Genomic DNA, 19,360 nt, shown 5'->3' on the forward strand with positions numbered 1-19,360 from the left:
TAGCTGGGCGTGGTGGTGGGTGCCTATAATCCCAGCTACTCAGGAGGCTGAGGCAGGAGAATTGCTTGAACCCAGGAGGCGGAGGTTGCAGTGAGCCGAGCTTGCGCCATTGCGCTCCAGCCTGGAGGAGACTCCATCTCAAAAAAAAAAAAAAAAAAAAAAATCTTATGGGTGGTATTGATGAGGTGTTATGACTAGTATTACAGCTGCAGAAATTACCCTAGGGGATAAAAACAAATGAAAAGAATGTAGGAAGTCAGCTAAAGTGCTTAAAATCGAATGCTGGCATTTTCATAAACTTGTAATAGTTTAGAAAATAATTTCATTCGTTATGTTTGTAATAGTTTGATATTTAAGCCTAGGCTGTGTCTAGCTTAGGATCTGTTTGCTCATGGATAAAAGTCCTTCATCTCAGTTTTGATTTTAACCATTTTCTTTTTTATTTTTCTTAACCATTTTTATTTTTTTAACCTCTTTGTGTGTGTGTGTGTGTGTGTGTGTGTGTGTGTGTGTGTGTGTGTGACGGAGTTTCACTCTGTCATCCAGGCTGGAGTGCAGTGACGCAATCTTGGCTCACCGAAACCTTTGCCTCCCAGATTCAAGCAATTCTCCTGCCTCAGCCTCCCAAGTAGCTGGGATTACAGGCTCCTGCCACCATACCCGGCTAATTTTTTGTATTTTTAGTAGAGATGGGGTTTCACCATGTTGGCCAGGCTGCTCTTGAACTCCTGTCCTCAAGTGATCTGCCCTCCTGGGCCTCCCAAAGTGCTGGAATTACATGCGTAGGCCACTGCGCCCAGCCTTCTCTGATTCTTTATAGTATTACTGGTTTTGGTCTACTCCATTTTACTTCTGTGTGAATTTCTCTTTAATTCTAGTGACTGGTTTCAAAGAGGTGAAGATTCCATCCTTAATAAAGCTGATGAGGCCAGGTACAGTGGCTAACGCCTGTAATCCCAACACTTTGGGAGGCCAAGGTGGGCGGATCACCTGAGGTCAGGAGTTTGAGAAGACCAGCCTGACCAACATGGAGAAACCCCGTCTCTACTAAAAATACAAAATTAGCTGGGCATCGTGGCACCTGCCTGTAATCCCAGCTACTCTGGAGGCTGATGCAGGAGAATCGCTTGAACCTGGGAGACAGAGGTTGTGGTGAGCCAAGATCACGCCATTGCACCCCAGCCTGGGCAATAAGAGTGAAACTCTGTCTCTAAATAAAGAAAGAAAGAGCCAAGCGTGGTGGCGGGCACCTGTAGTCCCAGCTACTGGGGAGGCTGAGGCAGGAGAATGGTGTGAACCCAGGAGGCAGAGCTTGTCGTGAGTGGAGATCGCACCACTGCACTCCAGCCTGGGCAACAGAGCAAAAAATAAAATAAAATAAAGCTGATGAAAATCAACTCTAGGTCAACAACTGAGATTAGTAGCAAGCCCCAGAAGCACCCTTTAGGCTGTTAGAACCAAGAGTTTTGTGGGTTTTTGTTTTGTTTTGTTTGTTGTTTTTTTGAGAGAGGGTCTTGCTCTGATAGGCAGGCTGGAATGCAGGGGCTCACTCACAGCTTGCTGCAACCTCAACCTGCCAGGCTCAAGCCATTCTCCCGCCTCAGCCTCCCAAAGTGCTGGGATTACAGGTGTGAGCCACTGCCACCTGCTGAGGTTCTTCAGTCTTTACTTAACTTATTACTTTTAGTAACGGTAGTACACCTTGCTGAAGTTAAAGGTTCTACATTAACTGGATCAGATTGTTGGCTTAAATATTGAGAGGCAGGGCATCAAAGGTGGTAGTGCTAAAATTCTCTGGATTTTTTTTTTTTTTGAGACAGAGTTTCACTCTGTTTCCCAGGCTGGAGTGCAGTGGTGCAGTCTCAGCTCACTGCAACCTTTGCCTCCCGGGTTCAAGCAATTCTGCGTCAGTCTTCCAAGTAGCTGGGACTACAGGCGCATACCACCACACCTGGCTAATTTTTGTATTTTTAGTAGAGATGGAGTTTCACCATGTTGGCCAGGCTGGTCTCGAGCTCCCGACCTCGTGATGCGCCCACCTCGGGCTCCCAAAGTGCTGAGATTACAGGCGTGAGCCACCGCTCCCAGCCTCTGGTCTTGAACTTCTGACCTTGTGATTTGCCCGCCTCGGCCTCCCAAAGTGCTGGGATTACAGACGTGAGCCACTGCGCTGGCCTAACCCTGTAATTATTATACGTTGATTTTTGGCATGCTCATAATTACCTGGAACATAAAGTTTTTGCTGGTAATTCCCTGTTATCTTTCTTTGCTGATTTGTTTTAAACATACCATTGAATTAAAGCCAGTAATCCCACCAGTTATACAATACTACTGGAGTGTGTTTTGTTTTGTATTTTGAGACGTAGTTTCGCTGTTGTTGCCTAGGCTGGAGTGCAGTGGCACGAACTGGGCTCACCACAGCCTCCACCTCCCAGGTTCAAGTGATTCTCCTGCCTCAGCTTCCCAAGTAGGTGGGATTACAGGCATGTGCCACCACACCTGGCCTTTTTTTTTTTTTTTTGAGAAGGAATCTTGCTCTGTTGCCCAGGCTAGAGTGCAGTGATGCGGTCTTGGCTCACTGCAATCTCCGCCTCCCGGGTTCAAGCAATTCTTCTGCCTTGGCCTCCCGAGTAGCTGGGATTACAGGGGCTTGCCACCACGCCAGCTAATTTTTGTATTTTTAGTGGAGACGGGGTTTCACCATGTTGGCCAGGCTGGTCTCCAACTCCTGACTTTGTGATATATATCTATATCTATCTATCGCTCTCTCTCTCTCTCTCTCTCTCTCTCTTTCTCTCTCCATCTATAAAGCCCAAAACATTTTTGGTCCCGAGCATTTTGTATAAAGGGTACTCAAACTGTAGAAGGCAAACATGAAAAGGCTAATTCAGCTTCTCTAACCTTCAAGTTCTAATTCTAAATGAATGTCTCATTCTACGACAGTACACTAAGTTTATACTGTATGATTGCTTTTTTTCACCCACTCCAATGGTTCAAAGTTATTTCTAATATGAAAATACTTTAGTTTTCTCAAAACTTTTCTCTGCAAAACTAAATTCCAGCTGTCAGCCCTTGAGTGTATAACAAGTGGTAAAGAAAGACTAAATGTAAATGTTAGCAAAATTGATGGTTGCTGTCACAGAGCCATAGCTTGATCTATAGAGTGCCTACAGCTTGTGAGGTAAGCAACACATTTGAAACTTATAAATATGAAGTTTCTCTTCTGATGTTAAAAAAAAGAAAGAAAAACTTATAACTAAGAATATAATATTATGGATGTAGTATGACAGGGGCTAAAAGTTCTGGAGGCTTTGCGGGGGTGTCCTTTTTAATGAAATACTTGTATGATTTGAAAGGGAATACTCTTGAAAAGAGTATCTTCAGGGTTAATGAGATTTTAAATAAATTCTATTTCTTCAGAATAGAAATGAGGTCTTTTTTTTAGGAGTCATTTGAATTTTTCTTTCAGAAATCGAGCTATAGCAGATTATCTTCGTTCAAATGGCTATGAAGAGGCATATTCAGTTTTTAAAAAGGAAGCTGAATTAGATGTGGTATGTTTTACTTTTTACAATTCAAAGTATAGTTAATGAGTGGATTTTCACTCAAGTATCTGTAGTTAACAGTTACGCACAATTTTGTCATTTGTTATTGTGGTCTACTTGGTACTGAACTTGATTTTCACTCCTTTTTTTTTTATTTTTTATTTTAATTTTTGAGATGGAGTCTCACTTTGTCTCCCAGGCTGGAGTGCAGTGGCGTGATCTCGGCTCACTGCAACCTCTGCCTCCCAGATTCAAGCGATTCTCCTACTTCAGCCTTCCGAGTAGCTGGGATTACAGGCACGCACCACCACACCCAGCTAATTTTTGTATTTTTAGTAGAGACGGGGTCTCGCCATGTTGGCCAGGCTGGTCTCAAACTCCAGACCTCAGGTGATCCACCCGCCTTAGCTTCCCAAAGTGCTGGGATTACAGGTGAGCCACCATGCCCAGCCACTCCCTTTTTTTATAATCAGATTTTTAGTAATATTTGGACTTAAAGATGAATGATCTTTGTCTTGAGGATCATAGTTAAGCCATTTTTTAAAAATTCTAAATTTATTTTCTCTAGAATGAAGAATTAGATAAAAAGTATGCTGGTCTTTTGGAAAAAAAATGGACATCTGTTATTAGATTACAAAAGAAGGTAACTAAGTCTTTTTTCTTTAAAATTAGTTGTATTCAGTTATATAAACTTTCTGAAAATAACATTCTTCTGCATTAATTAATAATTGCATCTAATCTTTAAAAAGCAAATAAAAATACATTTTTTGTGCTTCATGAAAAGTATGACCTAGGCATATTATTGCAGATACATGGTAATTCACATATCTGGAGTTGCTGACTGGGTTCAATCTGCATAGTCCTGACTTTGAGGAATTGATACTGAAAGAACTCATTTGTGCACTTAGAAGGAAAGAATACATGGAGCCATTGTGATTAATGCTGGGAAAAGAACACTAAAATGTGCTCGTAGACAAGTTGTTTTTATCTCTGAGCTTTTATTTTTATCTGTAAATACAACAAATAATATTCCAGTCCTAAAATGGATACTTCATAGGCAAAGTTAGAATAAGTAAATAACATTGTTATGAGTTCATCATATAAAGCTCTTAGAAAAATGCTTAGCACATAGTAGATGCTCAATAAATATTAGCTTTTATTAATATTATTATTACCATATATAATGTGGTTTGGAAAGAACTTACTAAGAGTAGCAGCCTTAGAGGGACCAAGACAAATTCACTGCCCTTCTCTAATTAGTAGAGGACTCTGTCACCAGATACAAATCGAAATTTTTCTTTTTGTTAAAGAGTTAAGGCAATTGTACTGAATTTTTCTCAATTTTTAGTTTCCTCACATGACTTAGATTTTGATGCTGTACAAAATAAATAATTTTCATTTAAATTTGACAAATGCTTTGGAGATTACTGAAATTTTTTCAAGTATCCTACATACATAGTTGCAAAATAAAGGCAGTTTTTTAAAATGTCACATGCTATTTTTATTGAAATCTATCTGTACGTAACTACATGTTCTTTTTCAAGGTTATGGAATTAGAATCAAAGCTAAATGAAGCAAAAGAAGAATTTACGTCAGGTGGACCTCTTGGTCAGAAACGAGACCCAAAAGAATGGATTCCCCGTCCGCCAGAAAAATATGCATTGAGTGGTCACAGGAGTCCAGTCACTCGAGTCATTTTCCATCCTGTGTTCAGTGTTATGGTCTCTGCTTCAGAGGATGCTACAATTAAGGTAATTTTTTGTTAAAAGCAGACTTAACGGGAGGCTGAAGCAGGAGAATGGCATGAACCCGGGAGGCGGAGTTTGCAGTGAGCCGAGATTGCACCACTGCACTCCAGCCTGGGCGACAGAGCCACACTCTGTCTCAAAAAAAAAAAGCAGACTTAATAGGGTGAAGAAAATTAAAAGATCCTGAAAATGAGGGCCTATGAAGAGGGACAGGAGGTACTCTGAAACGTGTGATTTGGTTCTAAATCTTAAAAGACAGAATTGGAATAAAATATCATTGTGGCTCCTGAGAGGCATGCTGCCAGGTAAGTTTGATGGTGAATTTGAGAAAGTCGGGTGTCACTAACTGAGTTGATGTCAGTACATCACCTTGTGCTTGAACAATTTTTGTTCTTGGAGAATGAAAAGTGTGTGTCTTACCTTTAAACGGAGGTTATGTGTGAAATACTGATTGACAAAACTAGTAATTGATAGGGTGAATCTATACTGCAAAAGAATTCAGTAGAGGATTCATTTAAATTGGGCTTTCCTTGATGTATTTAAAATTGGCTTTCCAGGAGTGTGGGAATATACAAGCTTTTCATTTTATAAATTACGTATTTCATTAAAAAATTTTTTTCACAGTAAAAATATTATTACCTTTTAATGTTGTGCTTTTTTAATTAGGAAAAGAGTTGTTTTTAAGTTGCCTTTGTTCCGGACACAATAAAATGACCGTTGTATAAACCACCTACAGAAAGATAAGATAGTTGCAATATAGGTAGATTTAGGTAGATGCCTCTATCCTAAGGGTTATTTCAAAGTAAGTTACAGATATTAAGTTTCATTTACAAAAGTATAACCAATCGGCCGGGCACGGTGGCTCACGCCTGTAATCCCAGCACTTTGGGAGGCCGAGGCGGGTGGATTGCCTGAGCTCAGGAGTTCAAGACCAGCCTGAGCAACACGGAGAAACCCCATCTCTACTAAAATACAAAAAAATTAGCTGGGCATGGCAGCGTGCGCCTGTAGTCCCAGCTACTTGGAAGGCTGAGGCAGGAAATTCGCTTGAACCCAGGAGACAGGTTGCAGTTAGCCAAGATCGCTCCACTGCACTCCAGCCTGGGCGACAGAGCGAGACTGTCTCAAAAAGGTAGTTACAACTAACCAAATAGTAACGACGGTTTGGCCTTACTACTAACAGCAGAAGAAATAAACACTGAAATTATGGGCCGGGTGTGGTAGCTCATGCCTATAGTCCTAGGACTTTGGGAGGCCAAGGTGGGAGGACTGCTTGAGCTCAGGAGTTAGAGAGCAGCCTGGGCAACATAGCAAGACCTCGTCTCTACTTAAAATTAGCCAGGTATGGTGGTGCATGCCTGTAGTCCTAGCTACTCAGGAGGCTGAGATGGGAGGATCACATGAGCCTGGGAGTTGGAGGCTGCAGTGAGCTATGATTGAGCCAGTGTACTCCAGCCTGGGCGAAGAGTGAGACCCTGTCTTAAAAACAAAAAAATTGGACTGGGCACGGTAGCTCATGCCTGTAATCCCAGCACTTTGGGAGGCCAAGGTGGGTGGATCATGAGGTCAGGAGATCGAGACCATCCTGGCTAACATGGTGAAACCCCGTCTCTACTAAAAAATACAAAAAATTAGCCGGGAGTGATGGCGGGCTCCTGTAGTCCCAGCTACTCGGGAGGCTGAGTCAGGAGAATGGCGTGAACCCGGGAGGCGGAGCTTGCAGTGAGCCAAGATCGCGCCACTGCACTCCAGCCTGGGCGACAAGAGTGAGACACACATACATATATATGTGTGTCAAATTGTCAAGGTATTTTACCTATTAAATAAGAATTCCCAGTGATGATAAGATTTTGATAAAGTAGTCATTCTCATTACATATGATACAGTCTTACGGGATATCAATTTAATAGAGTATATGAAGGCTTTAAAAGTTTATACTTTTTGACCCACTAATTGTTTCTCCCCATTACTGTCTGACCTAGGTATTATAAAATGAGGACAGAATTTTTTTATATTAAAAAATGTTCACTATAATGTTTTCTATAATAGTGATTTAGCCAGCAATTAGAATTTTTTTTTTTTTTTTGAGATGGAGTTTCACTCTTGTTACCCAGGCTGGAGTGCAGTGGTATGATCTTGGCTCACTGCAGCCTCCGCCTCCCAGGTTCAAGCAATTCTGCCTCAGCCTCCCGAGTAGCCGGGAGTACAGGCGCCCACCACTGTGCCTGGCTAATTTTTTGTGTTTTTTAGTAGAGACGGGGTTTCACCATATTAGCCAGGATAGTCTCGAACTGACCTCGTGGTCCGCCCGCCTTGGCCTTCCTAAGTGCTGGGATTACAGGCGTGAGCCACTGCGCCCGGCCATATTTCATTTTTTAACTCAAAATGACATATGCTCTTGTTCATTTGCTATTCGTGAACAGTTAACATCTTCTGAAATCTTTCCTTGGCCCTTTAGATGTCTGAGTTCTGATGGTCTAGTAGGATCGAGTATTCATCCATTGTTCCTCAAATATTCTACATACAAATGCCTGCTATAGCCCTCTGAAGCTCCTTCCCTTCCCCTTCCCTTTCCCCTTTCTTTCCCTTTCCTTTCCATCTCTTTCTCTTTCTTTCCTCTTATTTCTTCCCCTTAAGTTTCCTTATTTACATGTCATTCCTGCTCTGAGACAGGGAGCGGACTATGTCTTGTGACTTTATATACCTTATCACTATTACAGTTGGTTATGTGATAGAAACCTTATAAATGTGGTTCTAGAGATAGATTTTAATAATTGCAACATTAGTTTTCCCTGTAGAAAAAAAGACCAATTTATACATGAGATACAATATTTCTAAAATAGTTATCCTTTGTTACTTGTTCGGTTAGTTACTCAGTAAGGTGCCAGACTGGCCTGCTGAGTGCAAATGTGAAACAAGAAAGGAGTGATGGAGTTGGTGTTAACCAATTTTCTGTTCACTTGACAGGTGTGGGATTATGAGACTGGAGATTTTGAACGAACTCTTAAAGGACATACAGACTCTGTACAGGACATTTCATTCGACCACAGCGGCAAGCTTCTGGCTTCCTGTTCTGCAGATATGACCATTAAACTATGGGATTTTCAGGGCTTTGAATGCATCAGAACCATGCACGGTAAGGGGTAGAGGATAGTGCTTTAACAGTAATTTCTATCATGGTACTTCAGAAGGAATATTGTTTCTAACAGTGTACAGTGTTCCTTTATTCACCTCTTAATTGTCAGTATTGGTGGAAGAGCATACCATGTAGATAGTCCAGGGATAAGCCACAGTAGTTGAGAGTGCTTTCTATTAGGAAGTTTTAAGTATCTTTTAGTACTTTACATAAAATATTTGTATGAGTATTTCTTGGTAAGAAAAACTGCCAGGTCATTTATCTGTATTTGAGTTAAAAATGGTTTTGTTTGTGTTTTAATTTTTGTTAGTTGGGAAACTGAAGTCCAGAGAGAGTAGGTCGAGTGAAAACGAGCCCAGATTCTCTTGCTCACTTAAGTGAAATGAGCTGAGCGCACAGACCCCATGCCCTCGTTCATTATTTCCCGGGTCTTGTTGTGGGAACTGTTTTCTGAGGCAGTATGTTTTGTGGAAAGAGAGTAATTTGCTTTGGAGTCAGACACCTGGGTTCAAATTCCTACTTGTCTACTTACGGTATTAGAAAATTTAAACCTCTTTCATCTGCAAAACAGAGGTAATAATACCAGAGTCATAGAGTTGTCATGAGGATAAGATGAAGTCATAAGATAAATCATCTTGGTGTAGTACCTGCCACATAGGAGATGCTCATTACTTAGGGATTTTTGTTGTTTCTTTATACATGATGACATTTGAATGTTGGGATTTTGTACAAGGAACACGTTAACACATGAGTAAACTGTGTTTACCTAGAGGGCATAATTTGAAGGTTGTGTTTTCTCTGTCCCAAATTAAATGCATTGGGGAAGTTTATAATTACAGGAATTCCACGCATGAACACTGTTTTTTTGTTGTTGTTTTTTGGTTGTTTTTTTTTTGAGACTGTGTCTCACTCTGTCGCCCAGGCTGGAGTGCAGTGGCACAATCTTGGCTCACTGCAACCTCCGCCTCCCAGGTTTAAGTGATTCTCCTGCCTCAGCCTCCTGAGTATCTAGGATTATAGGCACGCGCCACCACGCCCGTCTAATTTTTGTATTTTTAGTAGAGACGGGGTTTCACCATGTTGGTCAAGCTGGTCTCGAACTCCTGACCTCCTGATCTGCCTCAGCCTCCCAAAGTGCTGGAATTATAGGCGTGAGCCACGTAAGGTCTATCATTTATTTTTCTTTAAGTTGCCTGTATCTTCTAGCTGTAACTTTAAAAAGAGTTCTTTCTAATGCATTTTTTTTTTTTACCCCCAACACCACCTTTTTTTTTTTTTTTTTTTTTCTGGAGATGGCCTCTTGCTTTGTCACCCAAGCTGGAGTACAGTGGCACAATCTTTGCTCACTGCAACCTCCACCTCCCAGGTTCAAATGATTCTCCCACCTCAGCCTCCAAAGTAGCTGGCAATACAGGCAAGCACCACCACACCCGGCTAACTTTTTTATTTTTAGTAGAAACAGGGTTTAACCATATTGGCCAGGCTGGTCTTGAACTCCTGACCTCAGGTGATCCGCCCGCCTCGGCCTCCCAAAGTGCTGGGATTACAGGCATGAACCACTGCGCCTGGCCCACCATTTTAAACAGAGAACCAATTCCCCATTTTTTGTATCCATTTGCTTTATCTTTTTTATATCTTAGAATATCAACCTAGAAGCTAGGCACAGTGGCTCACACCTATAATCTCAGCACTTTTGGAGGCCAAGGCAGGAAGGATTGCTTGAGGACAGGAGTTCGAGACCAGTGTGAGCAAAATATGGAGACCTTGTCTCTACAAAAAATAAAATAGTTGTGGGTGTGGTGGTACCAGATGTGGTGGTACACACCTGTGTAGTTCCAGCTACCCGACAGGCTGAGGCGGGAAGAGCTCTTGAGCCCAGGAGTTCAAGGCTACAGTGAGCTATGATTGCACCACTGCACTTTAGCCTGGGTAACAGAGCAAGTCCTTGCCTCACAAAAAAAAAAAAAAAAAAAAAAAAAAATGTTTCCCTAGCGTTCATATGTAAACATTCAGACTCACTGAGGTAAGTATATGAATATATTCAAATGTTGATAATCGTGATGCCTTTTGTTTTTAAACCATTTGTACAGGTTGAAATTTAATCCTAAATGGAGTTGACTATTTCCTTGTGGGTTGTTGTTTTACTGATTTTTTTAACTTTATCGTGTAAATCCAGGTTTCTTATCCAATTTGTATAAAATCCAGTGTATTTAGAACTTGCTTTGACATAGTGAAACCCCATGGTAAAATCCCATGGTCAATTGATGTTTCATTGCTCTTGGTGGTATATTACTTCATAATATATTGCTGTTATGTGTTTTAGGCCATGACCACAATGTTTCTTCAGTAGCCATCATGCCCAATGGAGATCATATAGTGTCTGCCTCAAGGGATAAAACTATAAAAATGTGGGAAGTGCAAACTGGGTAAGTAAGTTTAGTTGAAAAGGCATCAGCGGCCAGGTGCAGTGGCTCACACCTGTCATCCCAGCGCTTTGGGAGGCCAAGGTGGGCAGATCACCTGGTCAGGAATTGAAGACCAGCCTGGCCAACATGATGAAACCCCATCTCTACTAAAAATACAAAAATTAGCCGGGTGTGGTGGCGCACACCTGTATTCCCAGCTACTTGGGAGGCTGAGACAGGAGAATCACTTGAACCTGGGAGGTGGAGGTTGCAGTGAGCCGAGATCGTGCCATTGCACTCTAGCCTGGGCAACAAGAGTGAGACTCCGTCTCAAAAAAAAAGAAAAGGCATCAGCTTAAAGACATATTTATAAAAAACAAAATTGTGTTCTGGTGTTGCAGTCACTTCGACTTTAACCCGGAATGATCATTATGACAGTCATATTAAATATACTTTAAAACTAAGTTTGATCTGTACATGTCTCCCAAAAAGGAGCACAGAGACATTGTAAGGAGAGACTCTATGTCCTTGAGAAGCATTTCTGTGTAATGGCTTATTTCCTCTGTGGTCTTCTTTTAGGTGATCTCTCTGTGGGTTTAAATTAAAGTGTAAATAATCTTTGGCCGGGCGCGGTGGCTCACGCCTGTAATCCCAGCACTTTGGGAGGCAGAGGCGGGCGGATCATGAGGTCAGGAGATCGAGACCGTCCTGGCTAACACGATGAAACCCCGTCTCTACTAAAAATACAAAAAATTAGCCGGGCGTGGTGGCGGGCGCCTGTAGTCCCAGCTACTCGGGAGGCTGAGGCAGGAGAATGGCGTGAACCTGGGAGGTGGAGCCTGCAGTGAGCCGAGATCGCGCCACTGCACTCCAGCCTGGGCGACAGAGCGAGACTCCGTCTCAAAAAAAAAAAACAAAAAGTAAATAATCTTTGTGCTGGTATACCTCTGTTAGGCTGAATTTGGTTGTGCATAGAATTACACTTGATTTTTGTAGTACAAAGTTACTAGTTTTACTCAGATTAGTAGAGCATAGCTTTTTTCCAATATGGCTGGAAATACTTTTAAGTGTGCATTTAGTTTTGAAAGATTTTATTTCTTATACATATTTTATCTTCTAGATGTTGATTTTATTAGCTCCTTAATGATATGTCTGTTAGCTTATTGTTCCTACTTTAATTAACCAGGATTGTACATTTATTCTGTCGACTTGCATCTCTAACTTGGTACCATTCTCTTCATCCCAGTACATATTTTTATATCACTTCTGGGAAGTGTCCTGATGATTGTCATTCACAGTGTAAGTTATTATTTATATTGACAGCTACTGTGTGAAGACATTCACAGGACACAGAGAATGGGTACGTATGGTACGGCCAAATCAAGATGGCACTCTGATAGCCAGCTGTTCCAATGACCAGACTGTGCGTGTATGGGTCGTAGCAACAAAGGAATGCAAGGCTGAGCTCCGAGAGCATGAGCATGTGGTAGAATGCATTTCCTGGGCTCCAGAAAGCTCATATTCCTCCATCTCTGAAGCAACAGGATCTGAGGTACTGTATATACAAATGTCTTCATGGTTTTATTGCTGATATCTGAAGTCCTTAGATAACTTTGCTAATTCCCTGTTTCAGGGCTGTTAATGCATTTAAAAATCTGCATCCAGCAATTCTGAATCTTGAAATTCTCTACTCTTCACAGCTTGCTGATGTGTTTACATTATTTAACCAGTGATGATTATTGCTGTCAGCCTATCCTTGATTTGATACGTGATGGGTATTCTCCTAAAGAATTAAAATTTATCAGAAAAATCAGTGTTATGAGATCATCTCAATGTAAAACAAAACCTGAGGGAGAGGTTAAAGTTTTCTGTCAGAAAAATAGCCTTCATTAATGAAGATAATGATTTTATTTATAAATTTATGGTAAAATGCAGTTCAGTATTTATTTTTTAAAATTAATTCCAGATGTGATAGTATAAATGTTTTTTTAAATGAAGACTAATCCATATGGCAGCCTCTGATGTTCTTGATCATTTAAAAGTACTAGCTGAGCCTGGAGTTTTAACGCATTTCTTTGTGATCTTTATGGTTTTGGTCTTTATTATTAATATGTTAAAAATTACAAGGTACAGCGGCACATGGCTATAGTCCTAGCTACTCAGGAGGCTGAGGCAAGAGGATCACTTGTGTCCAGAAGTTAAAGTTCAGCCTGGGACAACATAGCAAGATCCCTGTTTCTAATAAATGAATGAAAATGAATGGTCTAAAACTTTTGTTTGTTTTTGAGACAGTCTCACTCTGTTGCCCAGGCTGGAGTACAGTAGCGTGATCTCGGCTCACTGCAACCTCCGCCTCCCAGGTTCAGGCGATTCTCCTGCCTCAGCCTCCTGAGTAGCTGGGACCACGGATGCATGTACCACCCTGCCAGCTAATTTTTATATTTTTAGTAGAAACAAGGTTTTGCCATGTTGGCCAGGCTGCTCTCAAACTCATGGCCTCAAGTGATCCGACCACCTCAGCTTCCCAAAGTTCTGGGATTACAGGTGTGAGCCACTGTGCCTGGCTTCACATTGATTTTGACAGAGGCATTCCTATCATGTATTTTTAAAACTACATGTCAATAAACAAAGGAGGCAGTTTCCTCTCCCTCTACCCCCATCCCACTTATTTTTCTAAATGAATCTTCTCTTGTGAGTTCTCTTTATTTTGATTGGCCCATTGCATTTTGAGATTCTGTTTACTGCCCTCTGGTGGTGGTTACATGCTGTATGTCATAAATTTGATTCTGGTGTGGTGGCTCACGCCTGTAATCCCAGCACTTTGGGAAGTCAAGGCAGGAGGATCACTTGAGCCCAGGAGTTTGAGCAACATAGCGAGACCCCGTCTCTACAGAAAACTTTTTTTTTTTTTTTAAACTCACCACTATACTAATGACGGAAAAAATTTTCAAAAACTTAGCTAGGTGTGGTGGTACACTCCTGTAGTCCCAGCCACTAGGGAGACTGAGACAGGAAGATTGCTTGATCCCAGGAGTTCAAAGCTGCAGTGAGCTATGATTGTTCCACTGCACTCCAGCCTGGGTGACAGAATGAGACCCTGTCTTGAAATAAATAAATATTCCCTAATCCAGATCAAAAAAATAAATAAGTAAATTTGGTTTTGGTTGGATTTGTAAAAGTTAAATTAAATAGTGATTACAGAAATCTTGAAAAGTAAATTTATTATCTGTTGGTTTTATGAAAACTGAGTCCTAACCTAAATAGAGACTTCTGTTCTTACATTATCTGAGTCCTTCCTGTGTAGCATAGGTATGGTGTGAAAGACTTGTGTATTTCAACAGATAAAAACAAATTGGGCTGGGCGCAGTGGCTCACGCCTGTAATTCCAGCACTTTGGGAGGCCGAGGTGGGCCGATCGATCATCTGAGGTTAGGAGTTCAAGACCAGCCTGCCCAACATGGCAAAACCCCATCTCTACTAAAAATACAAAAATTAGCCACATGTGGTGGTGCGTGCCTGTAATCACATCTACTTGGGAGGCTGAGGCAGGAGATTCGCTTGAACCCGGGAGGCGGAGGTTGCAGTGACCCAAGATTGCACCACGGTACTCCAGCCTGGGTGACAGAGCCAGACTCCGTCTGAAAACAAACAAAAAACCAAAATGCAACAAAAAAATTGGAAATATATATCATTATTAGATAGAAGCCATTTAAAGTCCATACCTAACTTCTTGTGTGGGAAACTTAATTTTTATTATGTTTTCTGTAGACTAAAAAAAGTGGTAAACCTGGGCCATTCTTGCTGTCTGGATCCAGAGACAAGACTATTAAGATGTGGGATGTCAGTACTGGCATGTGCCTTATGACCCTCGTAAGTTTGCATAATCTTACCATTTCTTTTGCATCTTCACTGTTTATACCTTTTTGGATTAATGCTTTATGATATCTTAAATAATCTGAATTATTCTGGGCTTTAAAATAACTTCTTTATAAAGATAGTTTTCCTTTAGCTTTTGTTGTTGTTATAGTGATGTGAAAGTTATTTCTCTAGAATGCAGATTCTATAAAGAATCTGTAGAGCCAGTCGGTGTTTGAGGGGGAGATGCTGCTAGCTCACTGTATCTTTAAAAATTGTGTAATATCTCGGCCGGGCGCGGTGGCTTACGCCTGTAATCCCAGCACTTTGGGAGGCCGAGGCGGGTGGATCACGAGGTCAGGAGATCGAGCTAACTTGGGGAAATCCCGTCTCTACCAAAAAATACAAAAAATTAGCTGGGCGTGGTGGCGGGCGCCTGTAGTCCCAGCTACTCGGGAGGCTGAGGCAGGAGAATGGCGTGAACCCGGGAGGTGGAGCTTGCAGTGAGCCGAGATTGTGCCACTGCACTCCAGCCTGGGCGACAGAGTGAGACTCCATCTCAAAAAAAATAAAATAAAACAAATGTGTAATATCTCTTACGGAGAAAAAGCAGCATTCTTAGAGACCTGTTCACTGTTGAAGATGTTTGTTTCTCTGTTTCACTTTATTTATATGAATCCTTTTAACTGTTATACCTCCTTGCTCACATGATCTAGTTTATTTGGCTTATTTAGGAGCATCTGTATTTCCATAGAAAGATATGTCAATACTAGTAAGGGATTGTGGACATTCCTATGTGCCTAAAGGAGTTCCAAGGAGATCTGTGGATGTTTGTTTAGTAGTAGTTTTTATAATTTGGCATCCACATTTGTTTAGAGATTTTTTAGGTGCTAATGATACCTTGAAGTGATTGTCTCTCTGTAGGATATGACAGACATATGTGGAAGCATCTTCAAGAACTGATTAGAAAATGAAACTCTCGGCCGGGCACGGTGGCTCACGCCTGTAATCCCCGCACTTTGGGAGGCCGAGGCGAGCAGATCACGAGGTCAGGAGATTGAGACCATCCTGGCTAACATGGTGAAACCCCGTCTCTACTAAAAATACAAAAAATTAGCCGGGCATCCTGGCGGGTGCCTGTAGTCCCAGCTACTTGGGAGGCTGAGGCAGGAGAATGGCGTGAACCCGGGAGGCGGAGCTTGCAGTGACCGGAGATGGCACCACTGTACTCCAGCCTGGGCGACAGAGCGAGACTCCGCCTCAAAAAATAAATAAATAAATAAATAAAAAGAAAATGAAACTCTCCTCTAGTAGTATTCTGAGCGGAGTTCAGCTATACCATGTTGCTGTTAAGAAAAGATGATATATAATTAAAATAAAGCAGGCCAGGCGCAGTGGCTCACTCCTGCAATCCCAGCACTTTTGGAGGCTGAGGCAGGTGGATCACCTGAGGTCAGGAGTTCAGGACCAGCCTGGCCAACATGGTGAAACCCCGTCTCTACTAAAATTACAAAAATTAGCCGGGCGTGGCCAGGCGCGGTGGCTCACGCCTGTAATCCCAGCACTTTGGGAGGCCGAGATGGGTGGATCACCTGAGGTTGGGAGTTCGAGACCAGCCTGACCAACATGGAGGAACCCCATCGCTGCTAAAAACACAAAATTAGCCAGGCATGGTGGCACATGCCTGTAATCCCAGCTACTTGGGAAGGCTGAGGCAGGCAAATCACTTTAACCTGGGAGGCGGAGGTTGCAGTGAGCCAAGATCACGCCATTGTACTCCAGCCTGGGCAACAAGAGTGAAACCATCTCAAAAAAAAAAAAAAAAAAACCCGGGCATGGTGGCGCACGTCTGTAATCCCAGCTACTCGGGAGGCTGAGGCTTGAGAATCGTTTGCACCTGGGAGACGGAGGTTGCAGTGAGCCGAGATCGCACCATTGCCCTCCATCCTGGGCAGTGAAGTAAGACTCTGTCTCCAGGAAAAAAAAAGAAAAGAAACAAGAAAAACATACTCTTGGCCAGGCACAGTGGCTCACACCTGTAATCCCAGGACTTTGGGAGGCCAAGGCAGGAGGAGCCCAGGAGTTTGAGACCAGCCTGAGCAACATAACAAGACCCTGTCTCTACCAAAATAAAAGTTTAAAAATTAGTCATGCATGATGATGCATGCCTATAGTCCTAGCTACTTGGGAGGCTAAGGCAGGAGGATTACTTGAACCCAGGAATTTGAGGCTTTAGTGAGCCGTGATCATGCCACTATACTCCAGCCTGGGCAACAGAGTTGCTGTCTCTTTTTAAAACAAAACAAAATTTTGCAGTGCTGTGCTATAACTGCACTATCCAGCGTGGTAGCTACTAGCCACATGCAGCTATTATACTCTTGAAATGTGGCTAGTGAGACTGAAGAACTGAATTGTTGGTTGTATGTAATCTTAATATTATATATTAAAGTAGGCGTACATGGACAGTAGCTACCATGTTCAACTGTGCAGTTCTAAGCCTTTTTCTTTAATGTGTAGATGAATGTGCTATTTTTTATAAAAATGGTATCATGCCCCTTAAGGTAGCTTTGTAGCAAACCTTTAATTTAGAAAGTATGTGATCCTTGCTTATGTTGTTAGATGCTCTTCTACACTGATCTACAGACAATGCTTTGTGAACATCTTTGCTAACTAAATCTCTGGGCATGTCCTTAAAGATAAATTGCAAGAACAGAACTGCTGCGACAGGGGAAATATGGATGGATAGATGGATGGATGATTAAATGGATGGATGATTAGATGGATGAATGATTGGATGGATGGATGGATGGATGATTGGATGGATGGATAGATGGATGATTGGATGGTTGGATGGATAGATGGATGATTGGATGGATGGATGGATGATTGGATGGATGGATGGATGGATGATTGGATGGATGGATGGATGGATGATTGGATGGATGGATGGATGGATGGATGATTAGATGGATGATTAGATGGATGATTGGATGGATAGATAGATGGGTGGGTGGGTGGATGGATGGATGATTGGATGATTGGATGGATGGATGGATGGATGGATGGATGGATGGATGGATATATAGATATATAGTGAATGCCTGTATATCCTTCACTTAGTTACCATTTGTTGGTTTTCCTTCATGTATGTGTGTATATTTTGCTGAAATCATTTGAGCGTTCTTTGCAGACATCGTAACACTTTACCCCCAAGTATTTTAGCATGAACCACCTAAGAACAAGGATAGTATATAAATAACCAAAATAAAATTATTCACACTCAAGAAATTTACCATTGATAGACTACATATTGAGATTTGTTCTTGTTATTTCCATAATGCCCTGCGGGACTTCTTTTTAACCCTCATCCAGGACCCAGTCAGGGATCGTACGTTATATTCACTCCTCATGTCTTATGAGTTTTCAGTTTCCTTTAATCTAGAATCCCCTAGACTTTTATTTTCTTCTGGTCTTTTGATGTTTTTGGTATGTATAGTTTTATCGTATTATGAAATAGATGCTATTTAAACATTTTGCCTTTTACTGAGTCAAATAACTTTTTTGTTTTTAAGGTGGGTCATGATAACTGGGTACGTGGAGTTCTGTTCCATTCTGGGGGGAAGTTTATTTTGAGTTGTGCTGATGACAAGACCCTACGCGTATGGGATTACAAGAACAAGCGATGCATGAAGACCCTCAATGCGCATGAACACTTTGTTACCTCCTTGGGTATGTACGCCTCGCGAGGTCTCTGAACATTAGATTTTGGAGTGCCAGACAAACTGTGTTTTACATAATCGTGTGGACTTTGCCAGGTAAGAAATGACTGTGCTTTCAGGGCAGAATAGAGAAGACATGAAAATCTTGTGGATTCCTACCATTTGTTTTAAATTCTCCTTTCCCGTTAACTCTTTCCATCGTTAGCCTTATAATAAAAACATTACTTTCTCCACTGCACAACATTGGTTTTGGAAACCACAATTTGTGAAGAGGTTACTTACCACTCTGATGGGTAATTTTTCTCCCCTATTAGTTTGTTTCTCAAACAAAATCTTCCTCAACCTTTCCCACTGGCAGGTGTATACTATCAGATACTAGAAACTCAGAAAATTGTATTTGATTTGAGTAAACATCCTCACTATCATCTGGACTTGAATCTGGAATTTAAGAGAGTGAATACAGTCAAGTATAATAAATGCACTAAAGTATAATGGACCAAAGCCTGCGTAAGGTGGGCTAATACCTGCCTCACAGGATTGGTTCAAGGATTAGGCACAAATACGGAGCATTTATGCCATGCCTGGAACATCGTGTTCAGTAAATGGATATGGCGAGACTGTGTATTGTTAGATTTGAGCCCTGCTGTGCCTTAGTCCCAGCTACTCAGGAGGCTGAGGCTGGAGGATTGCTTGAGCCCAGGAGTTCTGGGTTACAGTGTGCTGTGCTGATGGGATGTTTGCACTAAGTGCAGCATCAATATGGTGACCTCCTGGGAACAGGAGACTCCCAGGTTGCCTAAGGAGGGGTGACCTGGCCCAGGTCAGAAACAGAGCAGGTCAAAACTCCCTTGCTGATCAGTAGTGGGATCGCACCTTTGAACAGCCACTGCACTCCAGCCTGGGCAACATAGTGAGACCCTGCCTTTGAAAAAAGAAGAAAAAGGATTTGAGC

The 19,360-nt window shown here is 41.8% G+C and overlaps 1 protein-coding gene and 1 pseudogene across 8 annotated transcripts in view; both read left to right on the top strand.

Moving 5' to 3' along the window:
* PAFAH1B1 (platelet activating factor acetylhydrolase 1b regulatory subunit 1) overlaps window positions 1–19,360 on the top strand; it is a 92,433-nt gene that overhangs the window by 68,720 nt on the left and 4,353 nt on the right. For 4 of the 8 annotated variants that reach the window (XM_017024701.2, NM_000430.4, XM_047436163.1 and 1 more), the window contains exons 3-10: window positions 3,470–3,554; window positions 4,114–4,188; window positions 5,090–5,296; window positions 8,261–8,429; window positions 10,753–10,855; window positions 12,158–12,386; window positions 14,603–14,704; window positions 18,262–18,418. In XM_017024701.2, coding sequence (XP_016880190.1) covers window positions 3,470–3,554; window positions 4,114–4,188; window positions 5,090–5,296; window positions 8,261–8,429; window positions 10,753–10,855; window positions 12,158–12,386; window positions 14,603–14,704; window positions 18,262–18,418 — 1,127 coding nt within the window. Of the gene's footprint in view, window positions 1–878; window positions 933–3,469; window positions 3,555–4,113; window positions 4,189–5,089; window positions 5,297–8,260; window positions 8,430–10,752; window positions 10,856–12,157; window positions 12,387–14,602; window positions 14,705–18,261; window positions 18,419–19,360 lie in introns of all 8 variants that reach the window. The other 4 variants (XM_011523901.3, XM_011523902.4, XM_011523903.3 and 1 more) reach the window with 2 other exon arrangements.
* On the top strand, window positions 19,054–19,332 carry RN7SL608P (RNA, 7SL, cytoplasmic 608, pseudogene; annotated as a pseudogene).

Source organism: Homo sapiens, chromosome 17, assembly GCF_000001405.40.
Source record: "Homo sapiens chromosome 17, GRCh38.p14 Primary Assembly".
In the NCBI taxonomy this organism is placed as follows: domain Eukaryota; kingdom Metazoa; phylum Chordata; class Mammalia; order Primates; family Hominidae; genus Homo; species Homo sapiens.